Source organism: Homo sapiens, chromosome 12 (genome assembly GCF_000001405.40).
Source record: "Homo sapiens chromosome 12, GRCh38.p14 Primary Assembly".
Lineage (NCBI taxonomy): Eukaryota > Metazoa > Chordata > Mammalia > Primates > Hominidae > Homo > Homo sapiens.
This window is the reverse complement of record NC_000012.12, coordinates 108,176,197-108,191,820: the sequence shown is the minus strand read 5'-3', so window position 1 is coordinate 108,191,820 and position 15,624 is coordinate 108,176,197. Positions and strand designations below refer to the sequence as shown.

General features: G+C 45.8%; 1 protein-coding gene and 3 long non-coding RNA genes across 18 annotated transcripts in view; 3 read left to right on the top strand and 1 right to left on the bottom strand.

The window, feature by feature from the left end:
* Positions 1 to 859, top strand: part of LOC124903077 (uncharacterized) — a 49,492-nt gene extending 48,633 nt beyond the window's left edge. For both annotated transcript variants that reach the window (XR_007063583.1, XR_007063584.1), the window contains exon 3: positions 802 to 859. This is a non-coding gene — a long non-coding RNA (uncharacterized LOC124903077). The remainder of the gene's footprint in view (positions 1 to 801) is intronic.
* Positions 1 to 15,624, bottom strand: part of WSCD2 (WSC domain containing 2) — a 121,250-nt gene that overhangs the window by 58,717 nt on the left and 46,909 nt on the right. The gene's annotated exons all lie outside the window — the stretch shown is intronic.
* Positions 4,002 to 9,321, top strand: LOC105369965 (uncharacterized). 2 transcript variants are annotated; one of them, XR_001749312.2, is made up of 3 exons: positions 4,002 to 4,088; positions 6,907 to 7,050; positions 7,163 to 7,252. It is a non-coding gene; the product is annotated as an uncharacterized LOC105369965 (long non-coding RNA). The 2 variants fall into 2 exon arrangements; XR_007063582.1 differs by lacking the exons at positions 4,002 to 4,088; positions 7,163 to 7,252 and adding exons at positions 7,552 to 7,689; positions 9,241 to 9,321 and having other exon boundaries at positions 6,992 to 7,050.
* Positions 9,489 to 13,744, top strand: LOC124903076 (uncharacterized). Its single transcript, XR_007063581.1, has 2 exons — positions 9,489 to 9,670; positions 13,474 to 13,744. It is a non-coding gene; the product is annotated as an uncharacterized LOC124903076 (long non-coding RNA).

Sequence of the window (15,624 nt, the reverse complement as noted above, 5' to 3'; positions counted from 1 at the left end):
TTTTCTCCTGGGGAGGGAAGGTGCTGACCTGAGCCATCCCACAGCATCCTGCCGGTGCTAGGAGGAGGCAGGGGCTCGCCCAGAGGAAGAGCCCCCTGGAAGCTGAGCCCCATGGAGGGGATAAGGCTATTTGATACATAGGAGGGTCCCAAGAAACACTGGTAGAGAAAAATGAGTAAAAAGAGTCAGGTTCATCCCCCCAGGGCTTACACCTACAACCATGGCTTCACACACTGGCCAAAACACTCAGGTGACAGCCTTGGAGAACTGTAAATCCAGGGCTCTGTGGAGGTAGCATTTGTGTTACTCAGCACTGGGTGGTTCTGGGGTTCAAGGGTTCCAGGATTCGGCTGAGCCAAAGCCCCATATCCTCAAAGGTATCCCAGACTCCCCTGCCTCCCACATCCATCTGTCATTCTCTCTCTCCTGCCTCTCTCTCCATCTCTGTCTCTCCAAGTCTCTCTCTAGTCTGTCATTGTCCCTTTCTGCTATCTCTCTCCAGAGAGAAATTCTGCCTCAAAGGTAATGGGGAAATGAAACTAACTGCATTTGTTGAATACCTACTATATGCTGGATACTGTGTTTGAAGGTTTTACAAATACGTTCTCCCATATTCCTCCCTCTGGGATAGCTGCAAGGCAGGTGTGATGTTTCTTCACAATCCACAGATAATGTGTCTACAACCCTGGGTGAGACAGGGGCTGTTGGCCTTCAGCAACCCACTTCTCTCTGTCTCTATTTGTTCATAGCATGTTGAGGATTATAATTGTATTAATATCCCCTCCTGTCATTCACTTACAGGTGTGAGGTCCAGACAGGGGACTTCATCTCTCTGAGCTGCCATCTTCTCTCTATAAAGTTAAGTCAACCATAGAATGCCCCTCCCAGAGGTGTGGGGAGGATTCGATGAGACAATCCACAGGGCTGGCTATCACGACTTCATCCCCCTTTATTTTATGTGACACCTCTCTAAGCCTCAGTTTCCCCATCTGTTAAATGTGGTGGACGACCTCTACTCTGCCTCCCCCCCAGGGCTGGCATGAGTTTCCACAGGGAGGAGGCTGAGAGGCCCCCTTTGTGGGAGTGGCAGCATTTGGTTACTGCAGTTCATGTTTCCAGCAGGAGCCTCAAAGTGTCTAAACACAGACTATTTTTAGCACCAGAATGAGGCTCTGGTGTTGAGCTGCCAACTTGAAGATGGGTGGGGAAGAGCTGCCTGCAGGGGAAAGAAAAACAGAGGCATAGCCTGCCCTGTGGTTCCTTACCTCCCCTGGGAGTAAAATTATGCCTCCCCCTTCCAGGTTCTATTGGCTAGGGTAGGCCAGAATGGAAGCCTGTGAGGCTGGGTAGGGGGCTGACTCCCTCTCTGTAATCCCCAGCACCTGACTTGGGGGGCAGAGGCAGTTCGGAGGGACTGGGCAGGCCCAGCGACCAACTGACCCCCAGACCACCCAAGCTTCACCGAGAAATAGCTATTGAGAAATCAGGTTCATGAAGGTTTGATTTCTTAAGAGTTCTGGGTAGGAGACCCATCTGGGAAGTTTCCAAGAAACTGGGGAGCCCAGGTAAAATTTCAGTCTTGTTCTAATAATAAAAATATCAGAAGTCACTGGTGTTTGTTGAGCGCATACTATATGCCAGTCATCTTATTCCCATTGTGCCTTTTAATCCCCACTATCATTCTTTGAGGTGGTCATTAACTTCTTTGAACATCAGTTTCCCCATCTATAGAGTGATGATGTAATATAATTTATCTCTTAGGGTTAGCGTGAGAACTAAATAAGTCAATATATACAAATATATCATATCTATATGTATTAGGTGCAAATGCTACATCTTATAATAATTTCTGGAGAATACATGTGGTTTTGCCTGTTCAGTGCCCCTTCATTCTGATACAAGGACTCTATTTTCCTTCACGGAATTTCTCCCTCATTAATTCTCAGCTCATGTGGCTTGGATAGAATGGATTCCTCTTGCCAGTTGCTGCAGACATTCCTATACCTCCCTCCTGATGCATGTATATAATAATTAATGTAGAGTGCATGTATACCTAGGAGTGAAAGCGCTAGTTTTTGTCTGTTTGTTTTTGTTTTTGTATGAGCATCTTATGATTATCCTAAAAGATGCCAGTTTTTTTCCAAGGTTGCTGTAGTCACAACTTCCCCAGTACAGTTTGAGCATTCCTGCTGCTCCAAATCCACACCAACACTTAATGTTGTCAGTCCTTTCCTTTTTGGTCAGTTTGGTAGATCTGTAACAGATGCCATATGTGCCCCACCCACAGAGTTAAATTCTGAATGTTCATCTGGTTGTCTGAGGGGTTTCTCCAGCACCTTGAATGCTTTTTGTGCTTGTGTGGTTGGCAGGCAAGACATGCTAGAATATTAACATTTGGAAGCAGCTGCAAATATGACTGATGGGAGTTGGTGTATAAATGCCCCAGCTCCCTTGCTCCTCAGCTGGAATAACTCTGCAGTGTGTATTTCTCCAGTGGGACTTAGCCTCAACCACCCTCTGTAACAGATGACTCAATAATACACCCTTTATTGATTTCTTCCCTTCCCTGTCTCACTTCCCCGCTCAGGGAAGGACAGGAGTAAGTATACTCTTTATTTCCTAAATGAACTACTTATCAGTGGTATTCATTTCTTGGAATAGTTGATTCCTTAGAATAGGAATCAATATGGTTGATTCATATCATATCAATGGTTTTTCAACCTTTTCCTTATCATAGACATGTAAAATATTTCCAGTCTTCCCTCTTTTATAAATAAGTAACGCTATGATAAACATCCTGTATGTAAATCTTTATACAGATCCCCGGAAAGCAATATAGGACCTTTCAACAATGATGAGACATCGGCATATTATACCCACTTTACAGATGAGAAAGCTAAAGTTCACAGAGATTAAGTAACTTGCCCAGACACACAAAAAGTGGAGCATGAATTCAAGTGCAAAACTGAGCCTCAGTGTCATGATGCCATGGCGGACACTATGCAGACCAGCAAGGCAGCTATTCCCTGTCTTAACCACTAATCCCTCAGTTGAATCCAAGCCTTGATGAAAGGAACCTTTCTGAGCCTGAAGATATGGATGGCCATGCCTCGAACACTTCTCAGGTAGATAACCCCCAATTCCTTTAATCAAAGTTCTTTCTCACCCTTCTTGGTGGTGGACCAGCCATTTGGCAAGTGAAAGACTTAATGAAACAGCTTGAGAAGAAATGCCATTATAAATGCCAAATCCTTTCCCTCATTGTCTTAGGAATCCAGAATTTTAGTAACCCAGCTAACCCTAGGGAAGGCTTTTGCACCCCGTACAGTGGGTGGACCCTCTCTGGGACACACCCTTCCATTCATTGGTGTGCTGTAGTTTAATGATTCCATCGTGCTCATGATGGATATATTGTGGTTCTGCAGATCTTTGATGCAACAATTCTGCAGAATCTTTGACACAACAATCCCACTTTTTTGACCAGGAAGCATGTACACACCAGGAAAGCTTCACCAGGTTCCTAGGCACACCCGTATGTTGCCCCCTACACTTGCTCACCCCACCTCCAGAAAGAATCCCCTGGGTCCCCACACTTCCCTCTGTTCCCAGGAAGGAAACTCACTCAGCACTACCCTACGCTCACAGCCTGCCAACCATGTCCATTTTCATTTATCTTCCCCAAAACTCAAGAAAATAAATGAGAAGGCAAAGTGCCATTAGCTTAATGGCCTTTAACACCCAGCCATCTGCCATGATGTAATTAAATAAAAAAATCAGAGGGAGCATATGGTGTCCGTTATAAATAAATATTAAAATTTTGTTTATCTGGGTAATGACTCTAGTGCCTCTTGCTCCATGGGCAATCTTTACAGCCATCTTCGCTTGTTGCAGGGTCAGGGTGGGCCACTATGGACAGGAATGGCCACGGAGAGGAAACGTGGAAAGGGGTCAGGGCCAGAGTCACACACTCCTGCATCTGAACCTGCCTCAGGGCGGTGGTGGCTGTGTGATCTTCAGCAAGGGGCCTCTCTGTGACTCAGTTTTCTCACCTGCAAAATAGAGCCAATCCACCCTGCCTCATTGGAAAGGTAGGAGGGTTAAATGAGCTACTGTTTTTAAAATACATAGCACCCTAATAATAATGTGAGCTAGTATTTATTGAGCACCAACTATGTGACAGACACTGTCTAGAGAGTAACTTGTAATCCTTACAACAACCCTATAAGAAAGGTTCCACTTGTTAGCCCCATTTTACAGATTAGGAAATCAGAGAAGTTAAGTCATCTGTGCAGCATCACACAGCTAGCAAGTGGTGGAACAGGCTTCGAGCCCAGGAAGCCTGGCTCTGGGGCCTGCACTCTTAACCGTATGCTAAACCTGTCATGACAGTTTCTTAGTAGGTAGTCATTCTCTGCCACAACTTTGGCCAACTAAACAAAACATTTACCTCTTCTCATGACAATACCCTTTGCCCAGACTTCAGAAAAAGATAAAGGTTCAATGAGTTGGTGCAATGATTGGTGACTACCTAAGGTAGGTGTGGAGGACACATTTTGAGGAATCTGTCTAGTATGTGACACCCACCCCTTGCTTACAGAGGCAGACCCTAGGGGCTGTGTTTGCAGCATATTACCCTTCCCACTGGCACTGCCGGTGGATAATAGGTAGGCTCAGATCTAAAACTGGTCAATCCATTCTTGGCCCCAGAAATATGGAGTTGGGATTTGAGACATTCACATCTTTGCTGATCACTTAGACTATGGACCTGTAGCCTCAGGAGCTGTCACCAGGTGCCCAAAGAAAGAGCAAAAGTTAAGTCTGCAAAGAGAAGAAGAAGAAAGTAGCTGAGCAGAGAAGAGACACTGAACCGAGACAAAGAAGAGACAAAGGACCCGAGAAAGACTTGAGTCCTTGATCTCGTAGGACCAAGCCTTCCAGGGTTATAGACAGCACTGAATGAGAAAACTTTTCATTTGTCTCTTCTTACCATGGTGCTAGGTATACCAAAAGGGCTCAATAAGCTACAGTTAGTCTTCAAAGGGCAACTCATAAAACAAAACATACTCTTACCATACGATCCAGCAATCATGCTCATGGGAATTTACCCAAAGGAGTATGTACATCCAGACAGTGGAGTATTATTCAGGGCTAAATGACATGGAGGAAACTTAAATGCATATTATCAAGTGAAAGAAGCCAATCTGAAAAAGCTACACACTGTACGATTCCAATGATATGATATTCTGGAAAAGCCAAAACTATGGAGACAGTAAAAAGATCAGTGGTTGCTGAGGGCTAGAGGGAGGGTGAGTAGGTAGAGTATAGGATTTTTAGGACAGTGAAACTGCTCCGTATGATACTATAATGGTGGACACATGTCATTATACATTTGTCCAAACCTACAGAAGGTACAACACCAAGAGTGAGCCCTAATGGACACTGCAGACTTGAGTGATAATGATGTGTCAGTGTAGGTTCATCAACTGTAACAAAGGGACCACTCTGGTGCGGGATGTTGATGGAGGGGGAGGCTGTTGGAGGAGGGTCTGGGGTTATATGGGAACTTTCTGTACTTGCCGCTCAATTTTGCTATGAATCTAAAATGGCTTTTTAAAAGTCTATTTAAAAAGGGGGGACAATAATTTATTTGAAAAGGCAGAGACCCACTGAGGTACATGTCAACGAAATATCCAAACTGTGGGCTCTGGGGAAGGGGCCATGTTGCAGGAAGGGTCAGGGGATTGGAGAGAGATGAAGGGGTGAGCTGACAGTCTCCCTTGTACAGTGGTTTGATGAAAGGGACCCAAGGTGCAGGTCACCCAGTCCACTGGCCACCCCATGAGGCAGCTGGCAGCCCTTCTCCAAGTGCAGATCACTTTCTTCCCCAAGAGGGACTTCTGAAGGGACTTCTAAATCCCTATCATTAAGCCATCTGGAGTCATCCTTCTCCTCCAGGAGCTGCTGTGTCTTGGGTCAATTAGTGCACATTTGCATAGAGTTCCTTAATAGGCTGGGGGAGATAATGGACGGTTCTGCTGGTTCTGGGCAGAGTGTTTACCCAAGAGGCAGACCTACAGGGAATGGCAGAGAACAGGGAGGAAGGCAGGAAGGAGGAGATAGGATGGACTAGGATAGGATGAAAGGGAATGGCGTAGAGTAAGCTATCATTGACTCACATACAGTAAGGAGAAATGTTATCTTGTGAACCTTTGCCTCGGTTGTGTGTGCGCATCACAATGTCAAATACATTTCTCACTGTGGGGTCACTGAAATAATTGGAAAGTCCTAGCATGGAGAATAGGAGGAAGCTGTGTGTGGTAGGGTGGTTCCCAAAGGCCCCTCTCAGAAGGCATTTGAGCTGAGATCTGCAAAATGACAAGGAGACAGTCATGGGAGGATCTGGGGCAAGAATGTCCCAGGCAGCAGGAGACACCATGCAGAGACTGGGAGGTGGAAAAAGGTCAGTGGGGGTCCATCCCACAAGGGCCTAGAGTTTCTGCTCAGGACTGTTCTTGAACTGCAGTGTGACCGGAGCCCATTTCCTAAATAATACATTGAGGACATTCCTGTCCCAGTGGGATGTGACCACTTCTCAGAGGCTGAGCTGAAAAATGCTTGTTGATTGCTGGAGCTTAGAAAGGTCCAAGGTCCAGGTGCTTGGCAAGGCTTGTGGGAGGATTTAGAATTTCTTTCTGGCTGGGGCTCAGGGAAATGTGGCCCTCAAAGCCTAAAATATTTACCTTCTAGCCTTTTACAGAAAGTATTTGCTGACCCTTAATTTTCATCAGCAATGGAAACTGATACAGAGTTTATGGGGGAAGGGGCTTAGGACCACTGAAGGAGTTCACCCTGTCCCTCTTCAGAGCTCAAAGGCCACTCTCAGGTCACTCAGCTTCTTCCTTACAGCAAGTGACAGAGCTACAAGAAAGCCTGGAGATCCAACACCTAGCGAAACAGCCTTCCTTTACATAAGGGGAAACTGAGGCTTGGAGAAACTTGAATGAAATAACCTCTGTCCATATAAAATGTCTCGCATAGACCTGGACCCAAGTAAGTGCTCAATACTTTTTAGCTATTACCAAGATTATGATTATGATACCATAGAATCCTAGAGTTCAAAGGGCCCTTAGACACCAGCTAGTTCAAGTCTGATGTTTTACAGATGAGGAACCCGGGGGCTCAGAGAGGCTGGAGGAGTGGTCCAGAGTCACACAGCCAGGCCAGGGCTGAGCTGGTTCCTGCCCTGCAGGTTTCTTCCCAGAGCACACGCTGCTCCCTGGCAGCCCCCATTGCTCCCAGCCGCAAACACGAGCAAATTGCCATTTGCTGGTTCCACACTGACCACGGTGGATTGAACTCTAATTTAGGAACGGTGACAGCACCTATTAGCAACCCTTCCCCAAAGAGGAACTTTCCACCAGGAGTGAAAAATAACTGCCATCCCCACCCCCAAATCACCCAAGCCCAATCTTTCTGTCCAAGGCAGTGTGTGTGTGTTTGGGGGGTGGTGGTGGAGAGGTGGTCTCTGTGCTCCCCAGCCCACCTCTACAGGTTCAAATTCTCTTCCCCTGTCCCGGAGAACCTTGTGCCCTTGGAGGGGTTGCCAGCACCTACTGCCAGCTCTGAGCAGGACTGAGAGGTGGGCTCACAGCCATCAAAGCAGGAGGGAGGACTGTTCATAACCTCCAGGTCAGCTTCCTCACAGACATATGGGGTAACTGAGGCCTAAAGGGGAGGTGGAGGGTGACTCTACCCAGACCCAGTTTTCCTGCATCCCAGCCTTCAGCCTTGGCACCCTCCTGAGAAAGAAGAAAAATGGATAAACACCTTTTGTTGCACAATTACTATGTGCCAGGCCCTTCCATGTACCCTGTGCCATTGCCTCTCCCCAGGGGCTCTGCTTGGTAGGTTGGGTTTAATCTCACTTTACAGATGAGACAACCAAGGCCTGGAGAGGTCAGTCAACTTGCCAAAGGGCAGAGCTGGTGAGTGGCAGAACAAGACTCAACCCAGGCCTGTCTGACTCCAGACCCTTAATCCTAACCTCTATGTGACATTGTTTTCTGTGGAAGTGCCACCCTCTGACCTCTGACCTCGGGGCCTCCTCTCTGTGGGGCAAGTGGAGTGATTTGGAGGCTTTCTGTACAAGACAGCCTTTCTCCTCTGAATGCTCAGAGCCCGCTCAGAAGGCACAGGGGTTCCCAAGCCTTTAGTGGCCCAAGGAGTTCTGCTGGCATCCAACAGAGAGATGTCCCTTCATATGCAAGCAACAAGTGCCAGAAACTGACTGACCATTCTATCCATGAAGACATCACTTGGACACCATCGTACCACAGAGAAGGTGCCAGGAGGCCACACAGAGGTGCAGAGATTCATGCATGCTGAACATGTGCACAGCCCCATGGCTGTCATCCCCCTCACCCCCAGCACATACACAGAGTTAACCAGCCCTATCAGGCCATACCCATTTATAACACATGGCAGGAATCCTTATTCCCACTTCATGAGTGAGAAACAGCAGACACCATGGGACCTGCCTGAGATACATGGTTAGTCTTGGAGCTAAAACTAGAAACTGGATCTTCTCATTTTGACCAAAGGTGGTTTCTTCATCCCCTGGAATTGTCAAAAGAATAAAGAAGCACCTGTCTTGAAAAGTCACGACCAGAGTTTCTCATCATCAGTGACACTGGCACTTTGGACTGGATAATTTGTTGAGGAGAGCTGTTCTGTGCATTGTAGGGTGGTTGATAGCATCCCTGGCCTGCACCTAATGGAAGAGAGAACCAGAACACTGCCTGTGGACCCATCTGAATCCAGGCTTACAAAGTTTTGGTGCCAGATTCTAGAGCTCCTTTCTAAGATTTTTATCCTAGCTCTCCATCATAAGATCCTATTGTGAGGTTCCACGCTAGGATCCCCAACTTCTAGCACTCTATGCTGGGATACTAGGGTCCGTTCTGTGCAAGGAAAAAAAAAAACTATATTAAAAGGAGGAAAAAGTTATGCTGGAAGCTAAGTCAGGCAAGAAACTGCCTCTCCTTTTGTTCTTAAGCAGATAGCTACAGATAAAAGGTGAAATATCTCCACAGGTAGCTACTTGATGTTCACCTTATCTTATGTAAAGTGCTGATTTACTGAGAGGGAAACAAATAACGTAATTGACTACTCCTCTACCTGCTCCTTTTCTCTTGCAACCTGTGGGTTTAGTAACGTGACCATACCTTCTTTCCCCTCCAGCTTGCTTTTCTCCTTTAAATACTGAAGCCCTCAAAGTCATCTCTGGAGAAATGCACAGACCTCTCTCCTGGGCATATCCTTAACCTTGGCAAAATGAACTTCTAAACTGATTGAGACCTGTCTCAGATAGTTTTTGGTTTAGTTTCAATGTTGGTGGGCTCTCCAATTGTGAAATTTTTTTCTAAGCTCCTAAGATCTCATCTCCCATGTCAAAGTTGAAATTCTCTCCGGGAGACAGTCATGCCTCGCTGCCTTCCAGTGACCAGGATGAAAGATGCACCCATGAATTATATATTTCAAGTCATCTCTAAATTGCCTGGCAATTACAGAACAGCAAGGTCAGCTGCCGGGAGCAAGAATCTCCCTTTTGGCAGAGAAAAACAGATGGATGGAAACACAACGATATACAGAAAGATGTTACCTCTTGGAGGTAGGATTAGGAGTGATTTATTTTTTCATTTTGCAGATCTGTGTTTCTGTTTTCCATAATTAGCTGGATTTAAAGAAAGAGATAGAGCATGAGTTTTGATGTCAGTTAGACTTGAGCTGGAATCTTGGCTTGTCACTTAACAGCAGTGAGAAAGCTGAGGAAACCATTTAATCTCTCTAAGCCTTAGTTCCTTGCCCATAAAATGGGATGAGAATATGGCATGCAAAGCATCTGCGTATTGGCAGAGTTACCTGCAGTAACTGTTTAAAATGCTTACCATGGGGCCAGGTAATTCCCAGGCCTCAGCACAACCACAGTTATTGTTATTTGCACGTTTGTATCAACAGGGGCAGCTATGGCTTGGTGGAAGGTGAGTTCTGGAATGTGTAGGAGTCCTCCTCCAGCTCTGTCACTTTGTTTAACTCAAGACCTTGGCAAGGCTTAAGCCCAGGAATTTGAGGTTGCAGTGAGCTATGATCATGCCATCACACTCTAGCTTGGAGAACAGAGTGAGACCCTGTCTCTAAAAACAAATAAACAAAAAACCCTTAACAATCGCATGTCACCTCTCTGAGCCTCCATTTTCCCAACTTGTAAATGGGTGCCATCATGCCACCTCTCAGGGTCCCTGACAGGCATCTAGTCCCCGTCAATATCCTTTACTCTTCTTATCCCAGGCCAGAGGGCTGATAGGCACAGAGTAAGGTGGAACAGGGACAGAAGTTAGAACTGGGGCGGTCTTGTATCTCTTAATTTATTTGGGATTCTTTGAAAAGTGAGTCCTCACCAGCCCCAACATTAATAGGTCTTTGCTGTCATGATGTCTTTAAATTTAGATGAACACCCCCCACACAAACACGCAGCCGCCCACACACCCCCAGGAATAAATCCGCCGGGGTGGGAGGGAGGAAGGTCTGTCTGGTTGCATCCCAGGGAGGAAGAGCAAGGCACGAGGGTTGGAATAGGCTGCTGACGGCTGCAGCATGTCAGGTTCCTAAGGGGATGGATAAGCTCCTTTCATTTCTCATAGATAGCACAGGACGCCCTCTGCCCATGGCAGTGCACAGGGAGTCAGACAGGCTAGTTCCATGAAGAGGTCAATCAGATGACCACTAAGGTTCTTGGGCTTGAATCCGGACTCCCCTGCAGGACAGGCTGGGTGTCCTGGGTGACATTTGCAGCCTCTCTGAGCTGGGTTTCCCCATCTGTAGAGGAAGTGGTTGCAGGTCCATTTTCACAGGCTCACAACCTGCACTGTGTGGTCCCACAGGACCCACACTCAGAAGGCCTGCTGTGCTCGGTTTAAAGCTCTGCTGTCACTGTCTTGAAATTCTTCATAATTTTTGGAGAAGGAGCCCTGCATTTTCATTTTGCCTTGCACCCTGCAAATTATGTAGTGGGTGCTGGGTAGTTGTGAGAGTTGGAGGAGGCTCAAGCTGTGGTCTCAAACTTTCCTTCTTTCTGTCCCCATCTTTTAACCTCATTCTAATGACTGTGTGGCCTAGAGCAAGTGGACTGAGCTTTCTGTTCCTCTGGCTCTTGCTTAGTAAAACATAAAAATAAAAACTACCTTAAAATTTCTTCTGGTTCCTATTTACTTCTCCCTCCCCCGACATTCAAACTACAGCTCATCCATTCATTCAACAAACATTCATTGAGTGACAGCCATTTGGCAAGCCAAGGTTTGTCCCACGGGCCTGGCCTGAGCCAAGGGATCTATCCACAGCGAGAGTATCCTGCACAAACTGCACAAATGCATCATCTCTGAGGAAAATTTCTCCCTCCTTGGCTGAAAAGACCTCTATTCTAATCAGTGGGAGCCAAATATTCTCCACTGCGGGGGGCGGCATGTTTTTATATCTTCAGTTAACAAATATTTATTGAGTACCTATTGTATGTCAGGTGCTGTGAATACATCCATGAAGATGATATGACCCCTGCCATCAGGAAAATGACAATCTTATTTTTTAGCTTGTAAAATCTTGGGGTCTGTCTTAATTTCAAGCAAAATCAATCCCAATTTTACTTGTTGGGCTTCCAGAACCTTGAAATACATGATTTCTTTTCTTTTCTTTTCTTTTTCTTTTTTTTTTTTTTTTTGTTTTTTTGAGATGGAGTCTTTCTCTGTCACCCAGGCTGGAATGCAATGGAGTGACCTCAGCTCACTGCAACCTCTGCTTCCCAGGTTCAAGAGATTCTCCTGCCTCAGCCTCCCAAGTAGCTGGGATTACAGGCACCTGCCACCACGCCCAGCTAATTTTTTCTTTTGTATTTGAAATGCATAATTTCTAATGTTCACCATGACTCTAGAAGGCGAGTGCTATTCTCCCCATTATACAAATGAGAAACTGAGGCTCAGATAGGTCCAGCGACTTGCCCAAGGTGACGCAGGTCATAAGTGGCAGAGCTGGAATTTCAACCTAGGGCTGTGTGGCTCCAGAGGGATTTTAGTGGCACCACTGCCTCCCCAGAGGCAACATGCACTCCTTGGAGCTGGGTCTTCCCCTCTCCTCTATGGCTAGCTCATTGCCAAGTCCTGGATGATCGTCTGGATCAAACCATTCCTGAAGGAATCTCATGTACAATTGCCAATCCCACCAGAGAGAAGGGAGGCCTCACACAGCAAGCTGGTCTTTAAAGTCTCCTGAATCAGAGAGAAGACCTTCCAGCCCAGAGAAAGCTACTGGCCATTAGCCACGTGCTTGCTGCAGTTTTATGTCCCATATGGAATCTGGTTTGGCCTTTTGGTTTGATCCAATCAGGCAACTCATTGCTACAGTGTGATGCTCAGGGGCTGCATAGAGCAGGAGTTCTCAAACTGGAGTGAGCTTGGAAATCCTTTGGGGGGCTTGTTAAAATACAGGCTCTGTGCCCCCTCTGCCCCCCCTCCCCCGCTGAAAGTTCCTGACACAGCAGGACTCCCGTGGAGCCTGAAAACGTGCATTTCTAACAGGCTTCCAGGCGATGTTGATGCTGCTGGTCCAGGGACTAGAGTTTAAAAACCTCCTATCCAGACAATTAAACAGGCCATGTGAAAGTGATTAGAGGAGGCCGGAAAAAAAACTCAGAGTTTGATCCTCAGTGAGGGGACAGGTGGACCTTGACTTAAAGGCCAGCCTGCTATTAATGCCCATGAGACACAGGGTGTGTCCCAGAACCTTTCTAGGCCTCAGATTGCACATGTTAAGTGGACAGTATCTCCTTCAGAGGTTGTGAGAATTAAATGAGAATGAATGCCTTATAATAATTACCACAAACTACTACTCAGAGGGTGTTTTCTACGTAGGCGGTTGTGGGTTGAATTATGTCTCCCCAAATTAATACGTTGACATCCTAACTGCCAGTACCCCAGAGTGTGGCCTTCTTTGGAGACAGTCTCTTCACAGGGGTAATCCAGTTAAAATTAGGTCACTGGGGTGTGCTTTAATCTAATATGTCAGGTAGCCTATGAGTATTGTTGCTGTTACTGTGAATGGAAGAATAATACCAGTGTTTCAAGTTTCTAAGAAGGTGTAGGATCTGTAGTATAGGCCTTAGCTTACATGTAAAAATAAGCGGATAAAGAATATTGAAGCCCCGTTGGCATGTAGATGTCGAATGATTCAGCCATAGTTTACATCTTGACAGATGTGTGTGACTGAGAGAAGGTGGTAAAGTATCTGATGTATAGTGCATAGCAAGGAACAATCGTGTCATGATTTGAAGGGTCAGGCAAAGGCCTAGAAGCGAGCCAAAGTTTCACCATGCAGAGAGATTCGATGGTGCTGGTAGGTCAATGAACAAGTGATTATACTTTTTATTAGGGGGGGTGTTTTTCAGATGCTGGTCACCATAGATGCTGGTCACCACCATGCCCTTTCATAAGTGTCCTTACAAAAGGAGGAAATCAGGACAGATACATCCAGAGGGAAGACGCTATGAAGACACAGAGAAGAGGGCCATCTATGCCAAGGAGAGGGGTAGGAAGCAAATTCTTCCCACACACACCTCGGAGGAACCAACCCTGCTGACACCTTAATTTTGGACTTCCAGCTTCCAGAACTGTGAGATAATAAATTTTAGTTGTTTAAGCTACTCAGCATGTGGTGTTTTGTTACAGCAACCCTAGCAAACTGATACACCAGTGCTCTGCATAGGACCTCAACATTTCCTTTTCCTTTTTTTTTAATGAGAGAGAATTCATATGTGGCATGGTAAAAACAAGTGCGCAGGAATTTCACATATGTACACACCCAGGTGACCCACCCAGATCAAGACTCTGAACATTCCCCTGGCTCCTAGAGGCTCTCCACTGTCCCCTCTCAGCGAATCACCCTCCCCAGGGGCCATCACTTTTCTAACTTCTATCACCATAGGTTAGCTTTGTACATTCTTGAGCCTCTTATTATTATTTTAGAAATGGGGCCTCACTATTTGCCCAGGCTGGTCTTGAACTCCTGAGCTCAAGTGTGATCCTCCCATCCCAGCATCCCAAAGTGCTGAGATTACAGGTGTGAGCCACCACGCCCAGCTGTTGAGCCTCATAAATGGCTGAACAATGTTGAACAAAGGAAGCTGGCCCCTTACATTTAAACTCATTTGTGCCATATAAAAACCCCTTGAGACAGGCACTATAATTATCTTCATTTTACAGGTGTAGAATCAGAGGCCCAGAGAGCTTCAGTAACTTGTTCAAGGTCACACAGCTAGGGTGTAGGAGGCAGAGCCAGGATTTGACTGGGTAAGTCTGGCTGCACTCACTATACTTACTGCTTTTAAATACACAGCAAGTGCCCAGTAACTATAATCACGGCGACTTCTAACAAGCAGGGGCTCTCACTCTGGGCCAGGCACCATGCCAGCTCTCTCCACATTACTTCATCTAACTCGCACACCAGTCCTATTTAGTATTTTTAAAATATATCTATATAAAATAATACACATAATATATATTACACATATATACATACTAAATTTTCTATACCTCATAATATTACCAGTGAGAAACACTAATACAAGCCCCATTTAACAGAGGAGTAAACTGAGGCTCAGAGCATTGAATAATGGATGCAAGGTCATAGACTCAGCAAGAGGCAGAGCTGGGATGGCTTGCAGAACTCGTGCTTATAACTACTGACATCAGCTGCCTCCTGCCAGCTGCTGCTAAGAGCAGCACCAGGACCACAGAACTCAACAACCTGTGCTTTAATTAAAATCACAATGAGATGCCACCACACACCTGATTTTTTCCAGTCACTTCTAATCGCTTTCACGTGGGCTGTTCTAATCGTCTAGACAGGAGGTTTTTAAATTCCAGTACACACACATTGTACTGGAATGGCTCAAATAAAAAAAAACAAAAACAAAAAACAAAAACTAATCCCAAGTGCTGGAGAGGATGTGGAGCAACTGGAACTCCCATCCATCCATGGTAGGAATGTGAAAAGGTATACTGCCACTTTGGAAAACAGTTTGACCATTTCTTAAAAAGTTAAATGTCCACTCCTAGGTATTTGCCCAAGAGAAATGAAAACCCATGCTCAGGCAAAAATCTGCATGCAAATATTTATAGCAACTTTATTTGTAATTGCCAAAAATGAAAGCAAACAAATGGTGAATGAACAAACTGTGGTGCCTCCATACAACGGAGTACTACTCAGCCATGAAAAGGAATCAGCTACTGATGACACAACAGCACTGATAAACCTCAAAGGCATCATGCATTATGCCGAGTGAAAGAAGCCAGACTCAAAGGCTATTATGATTCCATTTATATGACACTCTGGTAATGGCAGAAAAGAAAGACAACACAAAACAGATAGTGGTTGTCAGGGGCGAGAGATGAAAGAGGGATTGACCACAGAGGGGCAAAGAGGAATTGAGGGTGATGGAACATTTGTTCATCTTGATTGCAGTAGAGGTTATATGGTTGTACACATTTGTCAAAACTTGCCAAACTGTACACTAAAATGGGT